Source organism: Homo sapiens, chromosome 21, assembly GCF_000001405.40.
Source record: "Homo sapiens chromosome 21, GRCh38.p14 Primary Assembly".
NCBI classification, from domain to species: Eukaryota; Metazoa; Chordata; class Mammalia; order Primates; family Hominidae; genus Homo; species Homo sapiens.
Window position 1 is genome coordinate 35,514,926 of NC_000021.9, and position 16,236 is coordinate 35,531,161.

At 42.9% G+C, this 16,236-nt stretch overlaps 1 long non-coding RNA gene across 1 annotated transcript in view, besides 4 other annotated features; it reads right to left on the reverse strand.

Annotated features, from left to right (window-relative positions):
• Nucleotides 1–16,236, reverse strand: part of LOC100506403 (uncharacterized) — a 208,258-nt gene that overhangs the window by 142,419 nt on the left and 49,603 nt on the right. The gene's annotated exons all lie outside the window — the stretch shown is intronic.
• Nucleotides 9,954–11,153: an enhancer, noted in NCBI's record as "MED14-independent group 3 enhancer chr21:36897177-36898376 (GRCh37/hg19 assembly coordinates)". NCBI's record gives its function as "activates an origin of replication core promoter dependent on BRD2, BRD4, P300/CBP and CDK7 cofactors, and independent of MED14, by STARR-seq in HCT116 cells {active_cell/tissue: HCT116}" and the evidence as "EXISTENCE:reporter gene assay evidence [ECO:0000049][PMID:35650434]".
• Nucleotides 13,407–13,526: an enhancer, noted in NCBI's record as "active region_18418". NCBI's record gives its function as "activates an Ori minimal core promoter by ATAC-STARR-seq in GM12878 lymphoblastoid cells {active_cell/tissue: GM12878}" and the evidence as "EXISTENCE:reporter gene assay evidence [ECO:0000049][PMID:35858748]".
• Nucleotides 13,587–13,636: an enhancer, noted in NCBI's record as "active region_18419". NCBI's record gives its function as "activates an Ori minimal core promoter by ATAC-STARR-seq in GM12878 lymphoblastoid cells {active_cell/tissue: GM12878}" and the evidence as "EXISTENCE:reporter gene assay evidence [ECO:0000049][PMID:35858748]".
• Nucleotides 13,657–13,836: an enhancer, noted in NCBI's record as "active region_18420". NCBI's record gives its function as "activates an Ori minimal core promoter by ATAC-STARR-seq in GM12878 lymphoblastoid cells {active_cell/tissue: GM12878}" and the evidence as "EXISTENCE:reporter gene assay evidence [ECO:0000049][PMID:35858748]".

The following is a 16,236-nucleotide window of genomic DNA, read 5'->3' on the forward strand; positions in this document are numbered from 1 at the left end:
AATTTATGTACCTGGTGTTTTACTTGGTTGGTGCTCATTATTGACCGTCATGGTTCTGTCCCAGGTAGCAGTGATTGTGTCAGTAAACTAGGCTAGATTTTGTTATTGCTGTTGTTGTTTTACTGTCTACTAGGTATAAGGAATGTCCCCTCTCTGATCTAAAGACAAGGATGAACTGATGTCCATGTCTCCTGCTCCACACTCACATCCAGCATCCAGCAGTCACTTGATCTGTTATGGCTATGCTTCATTGAGAACATTCTTCGCCTCTACCCTGGGGCCTGATGACCTGAAAATGCCGATATTCTTAAATATTTTGGTTCAATGTGTTGTTATTCCCTTTCTAATGCAATACATGAACATTACAACCTTCAGAATAGGTGGCTTCCAAGATGTTTTCCTTCCCAGACCATTTGTTTTCCCAACTTCACCCCTCCCTATACAACTCACACCACTTTTCATTTCTGCGCCAGGCTGGATGCATTCCCAGGACCTGCAGTCTCATTAAAATTTGGAGATGTTTGGAAGGGTATGTCTCTCTGGGTGTGACATAACTAACTGTTCAGAATATCTCAAAATGCAACAGTCAGTTAGGATGCATTGGTACCTCCTTTGTCCCATGAAGGCCCTGAGACCCTGCAGGAGGTAGAGCCGTGATAGCAGGTGCAGTCTCTCACCTCCATTTCTTTATAGGCATGTGAATATTCCTCCTTAGGTCTGGCAACCATTCATACATAGTCCTACTTTTTAGTCTTGTTGACATCCTCTTTGCACAACTTTTTGGATTTTAATAAGTACTTTAATGTCGCAGGAGGAAAGTACAGAAGGCCTGCCATCAACTCAGAGAAGAAAAATGCTGTTTGTCAGAGATATAGACCAATGGAACAGAACAGAGCCCTCAGAAATAATGCCACATATCTACAACTATCTGATCTTTGACAAACCTGACAAAAACAAGAAATGGGGGAGATTCCTTATTTAATAAATGGTGCTGGGAAAACTGGCTAGCCATATGTAGAAAGCTGAAACTGGATCCCTTCCTTACATCTTATACTAAAATTAATTCAAGATGGATTAAAGATTTAAATGTTAGACCTAAAACCATAAAAACCCTAGAAGAAAACCTAGGCAATACCATTCAGGACATAGGCATGGGCAAGGACTTCATGTCTAAAACACCAAAAGCAAGGGCAACAAAAGCCAAAATTGACAAATGGGATCTAATTAAACTAAAGAGCTTCTGCACAGCAAAAGAAACCACCATCAGAGTGAACAGGCAACCTACAGAATGGGAGAAAATTTTTGCAATCTACTCATCTGACAAAGGGCTAATATCCAGAATCTACAAAGAACTCAAACAAATTTACAAGAAAAAAACAACCCCATCAAAAAGTGGGTAAAGGATATGAACAGACACTTCTCAAAAGAAGACATTTATGCAGCCAAAAGACACATGAAAAAATGTTCATCACTGGCCATCAGAGAAATGCAAATCAAAACCACAATGAGATACCATCTCACACCAGTTAGAATGGCGATCATTAAAAAGTCAGGAAACAACAAGTGCTGGAGAGGAGATGGAGAAATAGGAATGCTTTTACACTGTTGGTGGGACTGTAAACTAGTTCAACCATTGTGGAAGTCAGTGTGGTGATTCCTCAGGATCTAGAACTAGAAATACCATTTGACCCAGCCATCCCATTACTGGATATATACCCAAAGGATTATAAATCATGCTGCTATAAAGACACATGCACACGTATGTTTATTGCGGCACTATTCACAATAGCAAAGACTTGGAACCAACCCAAATGTCCAAAACGATAGACTGGATTAAGAAAATGTGGCACATATACACCATGGAATACTATGCAGCCCGAGTTCATGTCCTTTGTAGGGACATGGATGAAGCTGGAAACCATCATTCTCAGCAAACTTTCGCAAGGACAAAAAACCAAACACCGCATGTCCTCACTCATAGGTGGGAATTGAACAGTGAGAACACACGGACACAGGAAGGGGAACATCACACACCAGGGCCTGTTGTGGGGTGGGGGGAGTGGGGAGGGATAGCATTAGGAGATATGCCTGATGTTAAATGACGAGTTAATGGGTACAGCACACCAACATGGCACATGTATATATATGTAACAAACCTGCACGTTGTGCACATGTACCCTAAAACTTAAAGTATAATAAAAAAAAAAGAAAAATGCCATTTGTAAAAGCTGCATCACATTCCACCACACAGACATACCCTGTGATTTTTATTTATTCCCCTATTGCTACACTTCACTTTCTTTATATATTTTCTCTACAAAGAACATCGCTACAAACAAAGTCTTGCCCACACTGCAGAGTATGTCCTGAGAACAGATTTCTAACTTTGTAATTAGTGAGAAAAAGACATGATTGCTTTTTTTTTTCTTTTTGAGATGGAGTTTTACTCTTTTTGCCCAGGCTGCAGTGCAATGATGCGATCTCAGCTCACTGCAACCTCCTCCTTCCGGGTTCAAGCGATTCTCTTGCTTCAGCCTCCCGAGTAGCTAGGATTACAGGCACATGCCAGCACACCCAGCCAGTTTTGTATTTTTAGTAGAGATGGGATTTCACCATGTTGGCCAGGCTAGTCTCAAACTCCTGACCTCAGGTGATCCTCCCACCTCAACTTCCCAAAGTGCTGGGATTACAGGTGTGAGCCACCGCACCTGGACAGGATTCTTAAAATATACTGGCAAAGTGTTTTTGAGACATCCTTCCCAGTTAAAGTTCTTACCAACAGTTTGTCAAAGTGCCCATTTCACTTGATTTTTGATAACATGATTGAATTTTTTTTCTGATCATATTATATTTGAAAAATAACATTTAAAGAGACGAATATGTGGGAGTGGGTATAAGAAAGATCGAAGGGTGCAGACTCTGTGCCTTCCAGAAGTTTATATCCCATTTGGAGGAAACGTTGGTACTGCAGATGCCTTGAAGAAGCCAAAGTAAGAAGACAAAGGCTGACCTTCAGAGGTGGCTAGGCAGGACCTCTCTGGGAATATAACATCTGAGCCCAGGCCGGAGTGGGGAGCCTTATCTCAGGGAAGAACTTCTTCAGCAGGGGAAGCACCAATGCCAAAGCCTAAGGCCAGTACGAGTTGGTGAGCCTGAGATAAAGAATGCCTGTGAGGCCCCAGTGCAGGGAGCAGACGCACAGGGACTTGTGGAGAGCTTAGATTTTAATTACAAGGAGCCACGTTGGGAGAATTTTGTTTAACAGAGGGATAAGGCGAGGACTAAAGGAGATTCCATTTATAAAAATAAGCCTACTTATGAAGGAGAAAATAGACAGTGAGGACTAAAGGAGATTCCATTTATAAAAATAAGCCTACTTATGAAGGAGAAAATAGACAGTCAGGGCACGAATGGAGCCCGGGAGCCTGCTGGGAGGTTGCAACACAGTCCAGAAAAGTGATGAAGGTGTAGGATTGACTCATTAAGATGCGGAGAAGTTGTCAGATGCAGGATACATTTTGGAAGTAATTGATGGAAACTGGCTTATAGGAAACAGAGGCTGAGGTTACTGACCTCCGCCACTGATGGGAAAGACTGAATGGGGCCAGGAACATTAATATTTCTATTGCAGCAATGGAATAAATGGGGACCCATGCTGAAAATGTAGATGTAAGAGTCATCTCTATAATCTGGAATCTTAGCAGAGGAAGCAGAATCTCAAGGAGGGCAGAGAAAATGGCTTTGCCCAGAGCCCCTCACACAGCATGGGCAGATAAAATACAGAAAAATCCATTAAATTTGAATGAATCAACCAGGTATAATTTCTTAGAATAAGTATTTCTCGTGCAATATTTGGAACATACTTATGTTAAAAAATTATTGTTTATCTGAAATTAAAATTTGACCGGAGGCCCTGTGTTTTTATTTGCTGTATCTGGAATCCCTGCGTGGGACATTCCAATAATCCTGGTGGAGGAGGATTTGGTTAAGAAGAATCAAATGGAGCATTTGTATAACTGGAAGAAAAACAGGTGCAATGAATGGTTAGTTTTATTTGTCAACTTGGCTGGGCCACAGTGTCCAGATATTTGGTCAAACATTATTCTGGATGTTTCTGTGAGGGTGTTTTCGGATGAAAATTAACATTTGAATCAATAGACTTCGAATAAAACTAATTGCTTTCCCTAAGGTGGGTGGGCCTCATTTAATCAGTTGAAAGTCTGAATAGAACAAAGACTGATCTCCCCTGGGCAGGAAGGAATTCTGCAGCTGAGACCTCTGGACTTTGAACTGTAGCATCAGCTCTTCTCTGGGTCTCCAGCCTGCCAGCCCACCCTGAAGATCTTGGACTTACCAGCCTCTACAATCACATGAGGCAATTCATTAAAAATCTCCCTCTCTTTCTCTCTGTTTCTCTCTCTCTCTACCACACACACACACACACACACACACACACACACATCCTGTTGATTCTGCTTCTCTGGAGAACACTGACAAATACACCAGGAGTGTGAGGTGTCCCAGGAAGGCAGAAGTCAAAGAGCTTTGGGGCAAGGGAGAACTGACTTGGCAAATATAGTCCACTGGTGAGCTTAACCTAACTTGTGGCATCTTATCATTTTATTTATATTTATTTAATCAGGTGTGGGATTCCCTACTTTTTCTTAATGATTACCCATTTCTAAGTTCTTTATAACTACAGCCTTGAAGCATGGAGTAGGGCCTTTCTTTTCTGACATGAATATCAGCGATTTACTTTTGGCGGATGCTTTTGGTGGCCCACGTGGCAAATAAATATAATTCCAGGTGGTGGTAAGTGCTGTGATAAAAGGCAAAATAGCAGAAAAGGGAGAAGCTGGAGCTGCTGTTGTCAACACGGTGGTCAGTGAGGAGAGGACATCAGAGCAGAGACCTGAATAAAGTCGGGGGAAGAGTGAAGCCAGTATCTGGGGGGAGATCATTGCAGACATAGGAAACAGCCCGTGCAGAGGCCCTGGGTGGGAACACGCAGTGGTTGGTCTCCCCACTGGGCACAGGCAGCAAACTGCTATCAGAGAACTTGGGAGTCAGAGTTGGGTACGTTCTTGTCCCAACCCTGCCATTCACCAGCTGCTTCACGTGGAACAATTTCCTTCTCTTCTTTCAGTGTCAGCTTCTTGATCGGAGAAGCAAATCAGGTGGATAAGTAATTCCTTATGGTCCTGGTTATCCTTCACATTTAAAGGCAGAGAAGTGTTGTCGTCATTTTCTTTCCAGCAGAGTGTTATTTTCAGTGACTGCAGTTTTGCATTTCCTATATCTGCCTATTTTGAGTTCACATTCTAACGTGTGTAGAAATCTTTTGTTTAGAGATTTAACATTGGAAGGCATCTTTGGAGTGATGGAGCGTGTTTCATCTGTGATGAATGAAAAAGCTTCCTGTCCTCCTATCTTGCTGGAGTTGTGTTTTCACACATCCTGTGAAGGGCAAGACCCAGTGGGACACTGTTTTCCCAGAGAAATGATTAGACTACAAGAAAAAACCAGAGCCATATAATTTATGGCACCATGTTAACAGCGAGCATAGTCAACACGCAAAGCCGACTCCGCCAGATAAGGAGTTGCTTTGGAAACTGGCCCTGCGCAAATCACAGACGTAGCAGTGGCACATGGATGGGGACCACATTCTCTTGTGTCATTAACTAATAAAGAGCTCGCAGAGGAAAAGCAAATATCCCAGTTCTTTTTAATGACTGCTACTCAAAATAAAAGAATACTTTTGTTTTGTTCTATTGTTGAATTTGCTAGAATACTGCAAATTCTGTTGAATTTGCTAGAATACTTTTTATTTCACCAAGCCTAAAAAATAAGGAAAATTGGCACCAAAGGAAGTTTCTCACAAACTTATCTTTTTCAGGACAAAGAAGTAATTCAATCAGATGGAGAACAATATGCAAATTCTTAATAAGTGAAAAAGATCATTCATACCCTGGGCCCAGCAGGACAGACAGAGGTACAGATGGGAGCAGTCTCCCTTTTCTCTGAGCTAAAAGGCCTGAAGTTATCTGCATCCAAAACCTGGGTATTATGGCTAAGGGAAGGAAATGACCTTTTCAGGTTTCCTCCAGTCTGTTTGCAGGCCTATGGTAAAGACCAGGGTGGGCTGGTGGATTCTCAGGCAAGCTCCCCCTGAAACTGTGGGGAGGTGATTAAAGGATTAAAATTTGCATGCAAAGCAATAGATATTCAAACCCTTCCTACCCGCCCCCCACCCTCAATGTAACAGAGAAGATAAAAGCTGTTTCCTTTCAAAGCTTCAGGTTAAAGATGGAAGAATTAGCCAATATGTAATTGTATAGCGGGGCACTCAGAAAGGGCTGAGAGGAGAGAAGGCAATGATATCCAAATAGCAATCTGTGCTTAGAAAAAAAATTAACCTCTGAAAAGGGAGAAATGTCATTGTCTAAGGTGGTTCTCTAAATGGGGGTGGGGGGAGAGTGATGATTCTTACGCCTTCCCAGAGGACACCTGGCAACAGTACAACTGGGGGTGGGAGGTAGGGGTGCTACTGGCCTCTAGTGGGTACAAGGTAGAGGGGATGTTAATGCATAAGGCAGCCTCCCGCAGCAAAGAATGAGCCAGCCCCAGTTGGCAGACATTGAGATGGAGAGACTGAGAAAGGTTGAGAAGCTGTGGTCTACGGAGAAACCCTGGTCTAAGGACCTATTCTGGTATTTATTCAGTCTATCTGCTCAGGATGTTTCCCGGCCCATCTTGACTATTCCCAAGGAACCTCAACCCAACTCTTAAAGTGAAGCCCCAGGGTTTGCCTTGTTCAGCCTTAGTGCCTGGAACCTCTCGGCCTATGAAAGCCTTATACCCGGGGAAGCGATTGGAGAGAGGAATCCCTGTCCAGGGCTAATTGATTCCCCCAAGAACTGTGTATCTGCTCTCTTTGCGGTCAAGGAGAGAGGATTTATGAGACACATTAAAACCTATCTATGTCTTTCTTTGTAAATAAACTGTTTAGAGTTCTCAGATTTCGATCTAAATAGTTACAAACTTTATCAGGCTTTGCTGTAGTGTTGTTCAAAATAAGATCCTGCAATTATCACTCAATTGCTGCCTTGGAACTGAGACAGGCAGGCGCCGTGGGCACGGCCCAGGACGGCACACTGCTTGGAGATACAGGTCAGGGAGATGCTTCCACTCCATGTTTCCAAGAGAGCACAGGACATTCTTTGTAACGCACGTCTGTGTGTCCTGGGAGGGTGGATGAGGAGCCATCTGAACTGTCTGCTTCAAATTTATAAGAGCCTTTTTGAAAAGGAGATTGTCAGGGGCTTGCAGCCCTGGTACTGCCTCTGTCAGCTGCAGGGAAGACAACAGACTGTTCACACCTGTGTGCTCCGGGAACCAGGGGATGACATGCCACCACTTGCTCAACTTGGGATGACTGGTACGAGGGAGTCTATAAAAAGACTTGGTCTTCTAATTACTTTAATTCATTTTTTTAAAAGCATAGCTGTACTTCAATTTAGCAACCATATTCCTAAAAATGTTAGGCCATACAAGCAAACATTTTTGTCCTTTTTTCCATGATCACTCCCATAAAAAAAAAAAAAACACCTTTTGGGCATTTTTCTGATTGCTTCTCCACCTCCTTGAAATTTTGATATGTTACACTGTGTATCTGGTTATGTATAATGGTCCTTAGGAAGGCCACACACCTTCACAGTAGCTAGGATCTCACCTTGGGGGCCATACCAGTCTCTTTGAGCATGGCTGTGCTACACTGCATCTGCCCATTTGATTTGACATTGACAGTAGCCACTATCAAAAAGTATTCAAGAAACCAGGCACGGTGGCTCATGCCTGTAATCCCAACACTTTGGGAAGCCAAGGTGGGGTGGATCCCCTGAGGTCAAGAGTTCGTGACCAGCCTGGCCAACATGGTAAAACCCCATCCCTACTAAAAATACAAAATTAGCAGGGTGTCGTGGCACATGCCTGTAATCCCAGCTACTCAGGAGGCTGAGGCAGGAGAATTGCTTGAACCCGGGAGGTGGAGGTTGCAGTGAGCCAAGATCGCACCATTGCACTCCAGCCTGGGCGATGAGAGCGAAACTCAGTTTCAAAAACAAACAAAAAAACAAAGAAGCATTCAAGAGCCTGAAATTTTTTTTTCAGTGATTTTTAAGTCTATTTTTAATGGCTCTTTGTAGGAACAATGGCAAGAAGATTAAAATTATCTGCTAGATAATCAATTAATGTCTGCAGACATTTGTAGCCTTTTCTATGAATGGACTTATTTATGAAACTGATTTATACAACATCCATTGTTTAAGCTTACTTTTTATGTATGCTTGGAACAATTTTTCATGTAATTACATAAATTTTGGACATCCTTTTTATAGATGTGTAATATGCCATGCTAAGTATGTAGGTTATCAGATTTAAAGAACTAGTTTTGTTGGCTATTTAGGCTAATTCTGATGTGTCTCTATTAGAAAATGCTGCAGAGAACAGATGCAGCTCATCTTCATGATTTTTTGGATGCATTCATATTGTAAGATGCTAGGAATTCTTTTGCCTTTTAATTAAAATGTACCAGCACTTAAATGATCCATTATAAGTAAAAAATCTCCCAATAGATTAAATAAAGCAAAATAGTAACAGATCTTTGCATGTCTATGTCTGTCTGTGTGCAACTTAGACTTTAATTTGTTATTTAGCTTAAGGCAATGTGTTCCTAAATGCTACTCTAAGAACTTGTACTTACCACCCCTTCCACCAAACACAGACACCTTCCAGAGGACCCTTGCCCTCCAATGAGATCTCTATTGTCTTATATTAATTTAACCCTGCTGTTCTAGGTATATCAGAAGTCCCATAGAGTAGGCCTGTTTTAATTTCCCAAGGGACCACATAAAACATTGTACCTGGTGTGCTCAAGTTCAGTGAATTACTATCAGGACTTCTTGGAGTCTTCTTTCCCCTAAGATGCCCCAGTTTCCATGTTGTTGGCACATGGCCAGGTGCAGTATCCCCTCCAAACCTATGACTGGATCACTGATTGGAATTCTCCCTGGGGGGCTGCCCCTTCCTTCACATTCTCAGCTCCATGCCCCGCCACCCCCTCCTCAAGTAAACAGCTCTTGAGATTTGACCCAGGAAAAGTCAAGTCCAACAGAAACTCCCAGAACATTATACCCCGGCCCCATTTGTTTTGAAAATAGTATCGAAGCTTACAATTGCAAACATACAAGTGCTTAATTATTGCTCAGTATCCATTTTATTTCTAGATATTCATTGAATTCCATTCAAATGTCGATATTAGCAATATTAAAAATAGATGGCTGCAATTTTTCTACTGATTATATAAAGACAGACACTTTAGGTAATGGTCACATATGATGTGATTAAATTGTTTTGCTGTCATTGTGTTAATTATGTGCCAAAGTTAAACATATTCATCTGCAAATTCAAATCTGCCTGGATATTACCAGTAATTATGGCAGTAGCAGTCAAATAAGTGTCCTCATGTGGTCGAGAGAGTGTTTGAGGCTATGGTAAATATCATAAAAATATCATAGTCTATCATGTGTTTGAAATACTATCCTCTGATAAATGACTACTTTTTAATACCTGTTTGTTTTCCTGTGTATGAGGCAAATGGAAAGGAAAATACTTTTTGAATGAGCTTGTTCATTGACTTCAGAAATGGTGGAAACCTTTGCAGTGTCTGCATCCCCCTGCTCTGTACTCAGCATGGGGCAGCCACCGAAGGCTCCCAGCCCCTCACCCAGAGATACTGGAAGTACCACAAAAGTTGAGAAGCAGCTGGTGTTTGGCAGGTGAGGCAGAGGATATTATTGTTATTGATTATTGTATCCTGATTATTATCCTTCATGCCATCTTCCTGGTAAGGAGGCCCTTAGACAGGTAAGAGCCCATAAGAGTAGTCAATTTTGATCTTCGTGTTCATCTCTGTGATTTTCTTTCTTAATCTATAAAAAATATCTTTGTTGAAGAAGCGGTTATGTACCAAATGTTTGTGTCCCCCCAAAATTCACATGTTGAAGCACTAACCCTCAAAGTGACTGTACTAGGAGAAAGGGCCCTTACAGAGGTAATTAAGGTTAAGTGGACTCATAAGGGCAGGGCTTGATCCAATAGGATCAGTGTCCTTATAAGAAGAGACAGGAGAGTGCTCAAGCACTCTCTTCACCATGTGAGGACATAGCAGGAAGGCAGCAGTCCACAAGCCAGGAAGAGAGCCCTGACCAGGAACCAAATTGGCTAGCACCTTGATCTTGGACTTCCAGCCTTCAGACCTGGGAGAAAATAAGTTTCAGTCATTTAAGTGAGCCAGTCTATGGTATTATGTTGTCGCAGCCCAAGCTGATGAATACAGAAGGAAATGAAAATAATGGGGATTCTGGCTTAGCTTTGGCACCTGGATTGTCTGTCACCTGTAGATCTATTGAGCATCCAGCTAAACATTTTGAACCTCCCTGGGTACCTGAGTCTGTGACCAGTGTTGGAGACTCAAAGATCTGTAAGACACAGTTCTCATCGTTGATAACCTACAGGTCACATTTGACAGGCTTCCATCAGGGAGGTCTTGTGATTCATGGCCACATCCTGTCCCCAAGTAAAGAACCTTACTGTGAGTTCCTCAAATTGTTGATGTACTGATTAATGCACGACCTACTGACATTGAAAAGGACACTGATTTGTTTCTGAATCATGAAGTTTTGCTGATTTGTCTCTGAATCATAAAGTTTTATTGATTGTCTTACATGTCCACATTTTAGCCTGTATGTTGCAAGCTGAAGCAATGATTAAAACCTCTGTATTGCACCTTAACCAAAAGGATAACTCTATAGAAGGAGTGGCTCCCTTCCTTCTCAACATTCCTCTAAAAGCCTTCCTACCTGTAACAGACCCTAGAACATGCTGGACTTTGTCAGTGTGTCTTCCCTGGTCCATCCTCACACTTGATTTCCAATAAACCTGTGGGGTCCTGATAAGAGTAAGATTAAGATTAAGATTAAGATAAGATGAATCTCATTTGGGAGAGAGCCCCAGGTGGGGAAGAACAATAAGCCATTGTTCTGAGAGCCAGCCAATCACAGACAACCTACAGACATACAATGACCTTATTCCACCTATAGTCCCCTCCAGCTCTGCTGACACCTCGATCTTGGAAGAACCACCTACCAACATGGGTGAAGGCAGAGGACAGGACCTTCCTTTGGGGCAATTGCTCTGGTGCCTCTGTTCAGGGGAGGTGTCACATTCTAAATAGCTGAGCATGGGCAGGAAGCACGTCAAGAGTGCCCAGGTAAAGGACAAGTGTCTAGATCTAAGGACACAGTTTCCCAATGAGCTTATATCCCAGGACATCGGTTTTGAATCCAAAACTGGGACTCAGGGTGTGGGAGACATTAGGGAGAAAATTAGACTTTTGAGAGTAATGCCCGGGAACACCCAATGAGTAGCTGAGCCAGAAAGCTGCAGATTTGTATGGATATCACCAAACATCAAGCAAAAGGCTTTTCCTCTCTGAAGACCAAAATGACCAATCATAGTGATCAGCCTTGAAAACAAATTAGAAAAGGCTGTGCTTGGGAAGCTGGGAGGTACGATGATATTTTAGTGCCTTAAATGTGAGTCAGGGTAGAGACAAGATTCTCTGAGTTGAGTCTATGTTATTCCTCTGAGGCTTGTTGACCAAGGGAAAGTTAGAAAGTTATATATGTGTGTGTGTGTGTGTGTGTGTGTGTGTGTGTGTTTTAAAGTTTTGCTACAACTGGACTACAGTCCAGAGGGGAGATATATATATATAATATATAATATATTATATATATCACACTATATACAGGACAGATGATATATAGAAGATATATTATATACACACACACACACACACACACACACTGGGGGTGTGTGTGTGTATGTGTGTGTATATGTTTTAAAGTTTTGCTACAACTGGACTACAGTCCAGAGGGGAGATATATAGATATAGATATATATATACACACACACACACACACACACACAAAACATATATCTATACACATACATATAACATATATATATATTATGTATATAAAGTGGTGCAATGGACTATATGTTTATGTCTTCCCAAAATTCATACATTGCCACGGAGAGGGGCTTCTGGGAAACCAGTCCTACTAAACCCTAAGGTAATAGTATTAGGAGGTGGGACCTCTGGGAGGTGATTAGGTCATGAGGGAGGAGACTTCAAGAATGGTATTGCTGCTTTTATAAAAGGGATCCCAGAGAGATTGTTTGCCCCTTCTACCCTGTGGGGGCACAGGGAGAAAACAGCCATCTCTTAGGACTGGGCCCTCAGCAGACACTAAATCTGCCAGTGCCTTGATCTTGGACTTCCCATCCTCCAAAACTGAGAGAAATAAATTTCTTTTGTGTGAAAGCCGCCCAGTCTATGGTATTTTCATTAGAGCAACCCAAACAGGACTGAGAGAAGTAGTATTGCTGGAACAGGGGAAACAATAATGGTAAAATATACAGGGTGGAGGGGCCCTGGTCTTTAGAGACATCATCTTCTTTCTTATCCTTGGGCAGAAGCAGCAGGAAACTAACAAGAACTTCCAGCAGCAGGTGCATGGTGAGCTCATCACTATTGCAGTCACATCAGGCTGCCATTCAGGATACCAAAGATGGGGCAGCTTACACACCAGGCATGACTTTCTCAGTTTTGGAGGCTGTAAGTCAAAAATCAAGGTGGCAGCCAATTCTGTTCCTGGTGAGAGTCCTCTTGCTGGTTTGCAGATGACTGGCTACTCTCTGAATCCTTACATAAGGAAGAGAGCAATCATCTCTCTCCTGTGTCTTCTCCTAAGAGTGCTAATCCCATTCATGAGGGCTCCACCCGCATGACCTATCACCCCCAAAACCCCATCTCCAAATACCATCACTTTAGGGATTAGGACTTCAACAGAGAAATTCAGGGAGGGGACCACAAACACTCAGTGCACATCAGTAACTCACAACTTCTCTCGTAGTTCCCTGTGGATGTGTGGAAGAATGGGTATCTGTCAAAAGTTAGACACACCAGGGGAAAGGAAAGCCTGGTGATTCTATAGAACCTTCCTTGTACTCCCGTCTCCAATTCAGGATCCAATGGCAGGAGAATGGGCAACAAAATGCCCTGAGAAGCTCATGAGGTCAGCACAGAAGATGCCATGAGTCTCCTGTGATGTTGGGAAAGGAATCTCTCTCAGTGGACACTGTGGGGAGGGAAGGAGGGTCTGGGAAACAATGCCTCTCTTGCCTTTTTAAATCTAAGAATTGCACATTCAGAGGGGAGTGGGAGTACAGTCATGTCATCATCTCCACATTTCATTTGATAAAGGATAGACGGTTTTGAGTCATAGACCTTTAAATATGCATGGGGTGGGGGTGGCATTAGATGAACCCTAGTCTCAAGTTGCTGGGTGAGATGAAGTCAAACAGTATCAAACCCTTTCATTCTCCTAAAAATGAGCCAAGACCATGAGCTGTAGGTAGGCATTTGCTCCAAAATGATATATTGCAGTTTTGCAACTTTCCTTTCTGTGGCTGCTGCTGTCCAAAATGCCACTTCCCTCTTAAGTTCTTCTATGCACAGTTAGAAAGATAAAATGCTAAGCAGTTGAAAAGGGTTGAAAAAGAAAGATGTAGGTTTAGGTCCGGAGCCTGGCGCACCCGCCCTAATTTGAGTCAGGGACCCTAGGCGCCTGCAGCTCCGGTTCGGGTTGAGTGCCTCCTGTCAGGATGTGAAGCTGCTGTCCCCCCCGGGGGCCTCCAGCACTGCTGAGGACTCAGCAGTCAGCCTCTCCTCCCACTTGGGCTCATTTACAGAGAGCATCTCCAGGAATCAGTCATGGGGAAAGGGGAAACGCGGAGTGACAACACAACACGTAGAAAGTTCTCTGCCGCCTTGGTCAGGCTTGTCAGCCTCACAGCCCATCCTGCTCCTGCGGGAGGAAAAGTGAGCAGAACTCAGCCCGGAGATGAGCCGCAGGCCGGCAGCCCCTGCCTCTGCCCTGCTTGTTGTGACTGCAATGCAAGGCTCTCTGTAGGTGCGGGGGATTCGGGTTAAATGGGTCTCCAGTGGTCCAGCGCTCCCAGCAAAGGCCGACCACAAGAATTAGCGGGCTAGTTATTTACCATAACCATATACAAAACCACAAGCATCAGCGTTCCCTCAAATACATCCGAGACGCTGTATATCTCTTTATTAAAGCCTGTCAGGGTTTGTTATTGCACAGCTTGGCCTTGAACCCCAACTAAACCAGGCTGCTTGAGCAAAGAACCAAGCAATGCAAGCATTCAGGCAGGACCATTATAACCCTGAGGCCAAAGGCAGAAGCAGGGAGAGGAGACGTCTTCCTCTCCTGCCTCTCTCCTTTCACTTTCACTTCGAATTGATTTTTAACTACATTCGAGCTCACGATGATAGATGGCTGTAAAATATTTTAATCATTCATAAATAAAGTATTTATCTTGTGTGAGTTATCCGGTCTCCTTCACTTTAATGAACACAGTATACATCACGCTAATCCATTACTATCAATCATAGGTTTCAAGGTAGGCAATGTAAAAACTTAGAATTGTTGTCATCCCTTCTAGGCCTTTGGACTAAGATCAGGTTTGGTTGCTATTCTTATCTGTTTGCTTAGTTTTACTTTGCCTCGTTCTCAGACCTATTTTTTTCAAAGCCATGATGTATGCATTCTAGCACATTGATGTCATTTTGAGTTCAAATGCCCCACTGGTTAAGAAAACAGCACAATGTGGAATTTTCAGCTTTCAAAAAGGTCTTTGCTACAAGACAACTCAGATAAAGAATTTAGCAATAGCCAAGATAGAGTGGTGGTGATTAAGTGATGTAATCAAAGGATTGCAATTCCCATTCTAAATAACTCTCTAACTTCAAATTTGACTATGGGGTGACCAACCTATCGGGGTGTATGTTGAACTTTCCTGGTTTGAGCACTGAAATTTGCATGTCCTGAGAACTCCGAGTCCCAGGCAAGCCAGCCTGGCTAGTCACCTAACTATGATAAATTCAGTCTTCGGCATAAGTACATACTGTTAAAACTTCATGTGTTAAGACACAAGAAGGCAACCATCAATCTATGGTGTGAACTAGATGGAGAAGCTCCCCACTGGTGGAACACAGGACAGTCTGTACAAAGGGCAAACTCTTGCTAGTTGACTTCTCCTGCCTGTCACCACCACCTCTAGATTTTGAGTAGTTGGAAGTGGTCTCTGCAGGTACTTCTGAAGCTACAGGAATCTCTGGGCCACGGGTGTCTTCTTCAGGGCTTTTTCCTCCCCTGGTAGCATTCATAGGCTTTTTCAAACACAGGGTCTTCCCTTTAAAGGACTAGCAAGATGAAAAGAGCAAGGCTGCCCTTAGGTATAGCTGCAAACTCCACAGAGAAGAGGACAACTCTGTTCTGTCACCACCGCCACCTGTCCTGCTTTGGCTAAAGCTAATGATGACTGGGGAAGGAAAGGTTCCCTATCTTGTGGCCCTGGAGCAGCCCTGGGACCATCTCTTTGCCTCTTAGGTCCACAAAGCCTCCTGAATTTAGTACAATGCTGGCCCCTGGGGTCCCCCTTTGAAGAGCAGGATAGTTGAACTTTGTAGAATGTAAATTACACATACAGTACAACCTCCTGGAAAAACACAGCGTCTGAATGCCCTTTGACCTCCTGGATCATGATTCCTTTGTCCCCTACATAAGGAAAACAGAAAATATGTTCTATAAATAGTTTCTCTTTCACCTTTTTAGAAAAAAAGTTGAAAAACTAAAGGGAAAGAAAGAAGAGGAAAAAGAAAGTTTATCAATACCTGTATAACTGAGGAAACCGTTTCCTGTTTCTATTGTATATTGAAAAACCAACTTACGAATCACCCTTGCTTGCTAAATGATTTACAAAGGTCAGTAATGAGGAACTCCGAGACGCAACCTCAGTTTCACTTGGCAGCTTTATGTGGACATCCTCACATTTGGAAACAAGAAGTGAATTTCATCTCTACACCCCTTAAAACATCCATCAGGTTAAAATAAGGAGCAGTCAATGTAAATGTTTAACAACCAGTTCTCGGTGGGAAGGGCAGAGGGGAAGCTCTGGTTTGTAGGGTCCGTGGATTCCCATGATGTAAGTACTCCCACCATGCTGAGTTCAAGTTACCAAGGTGATGTCACT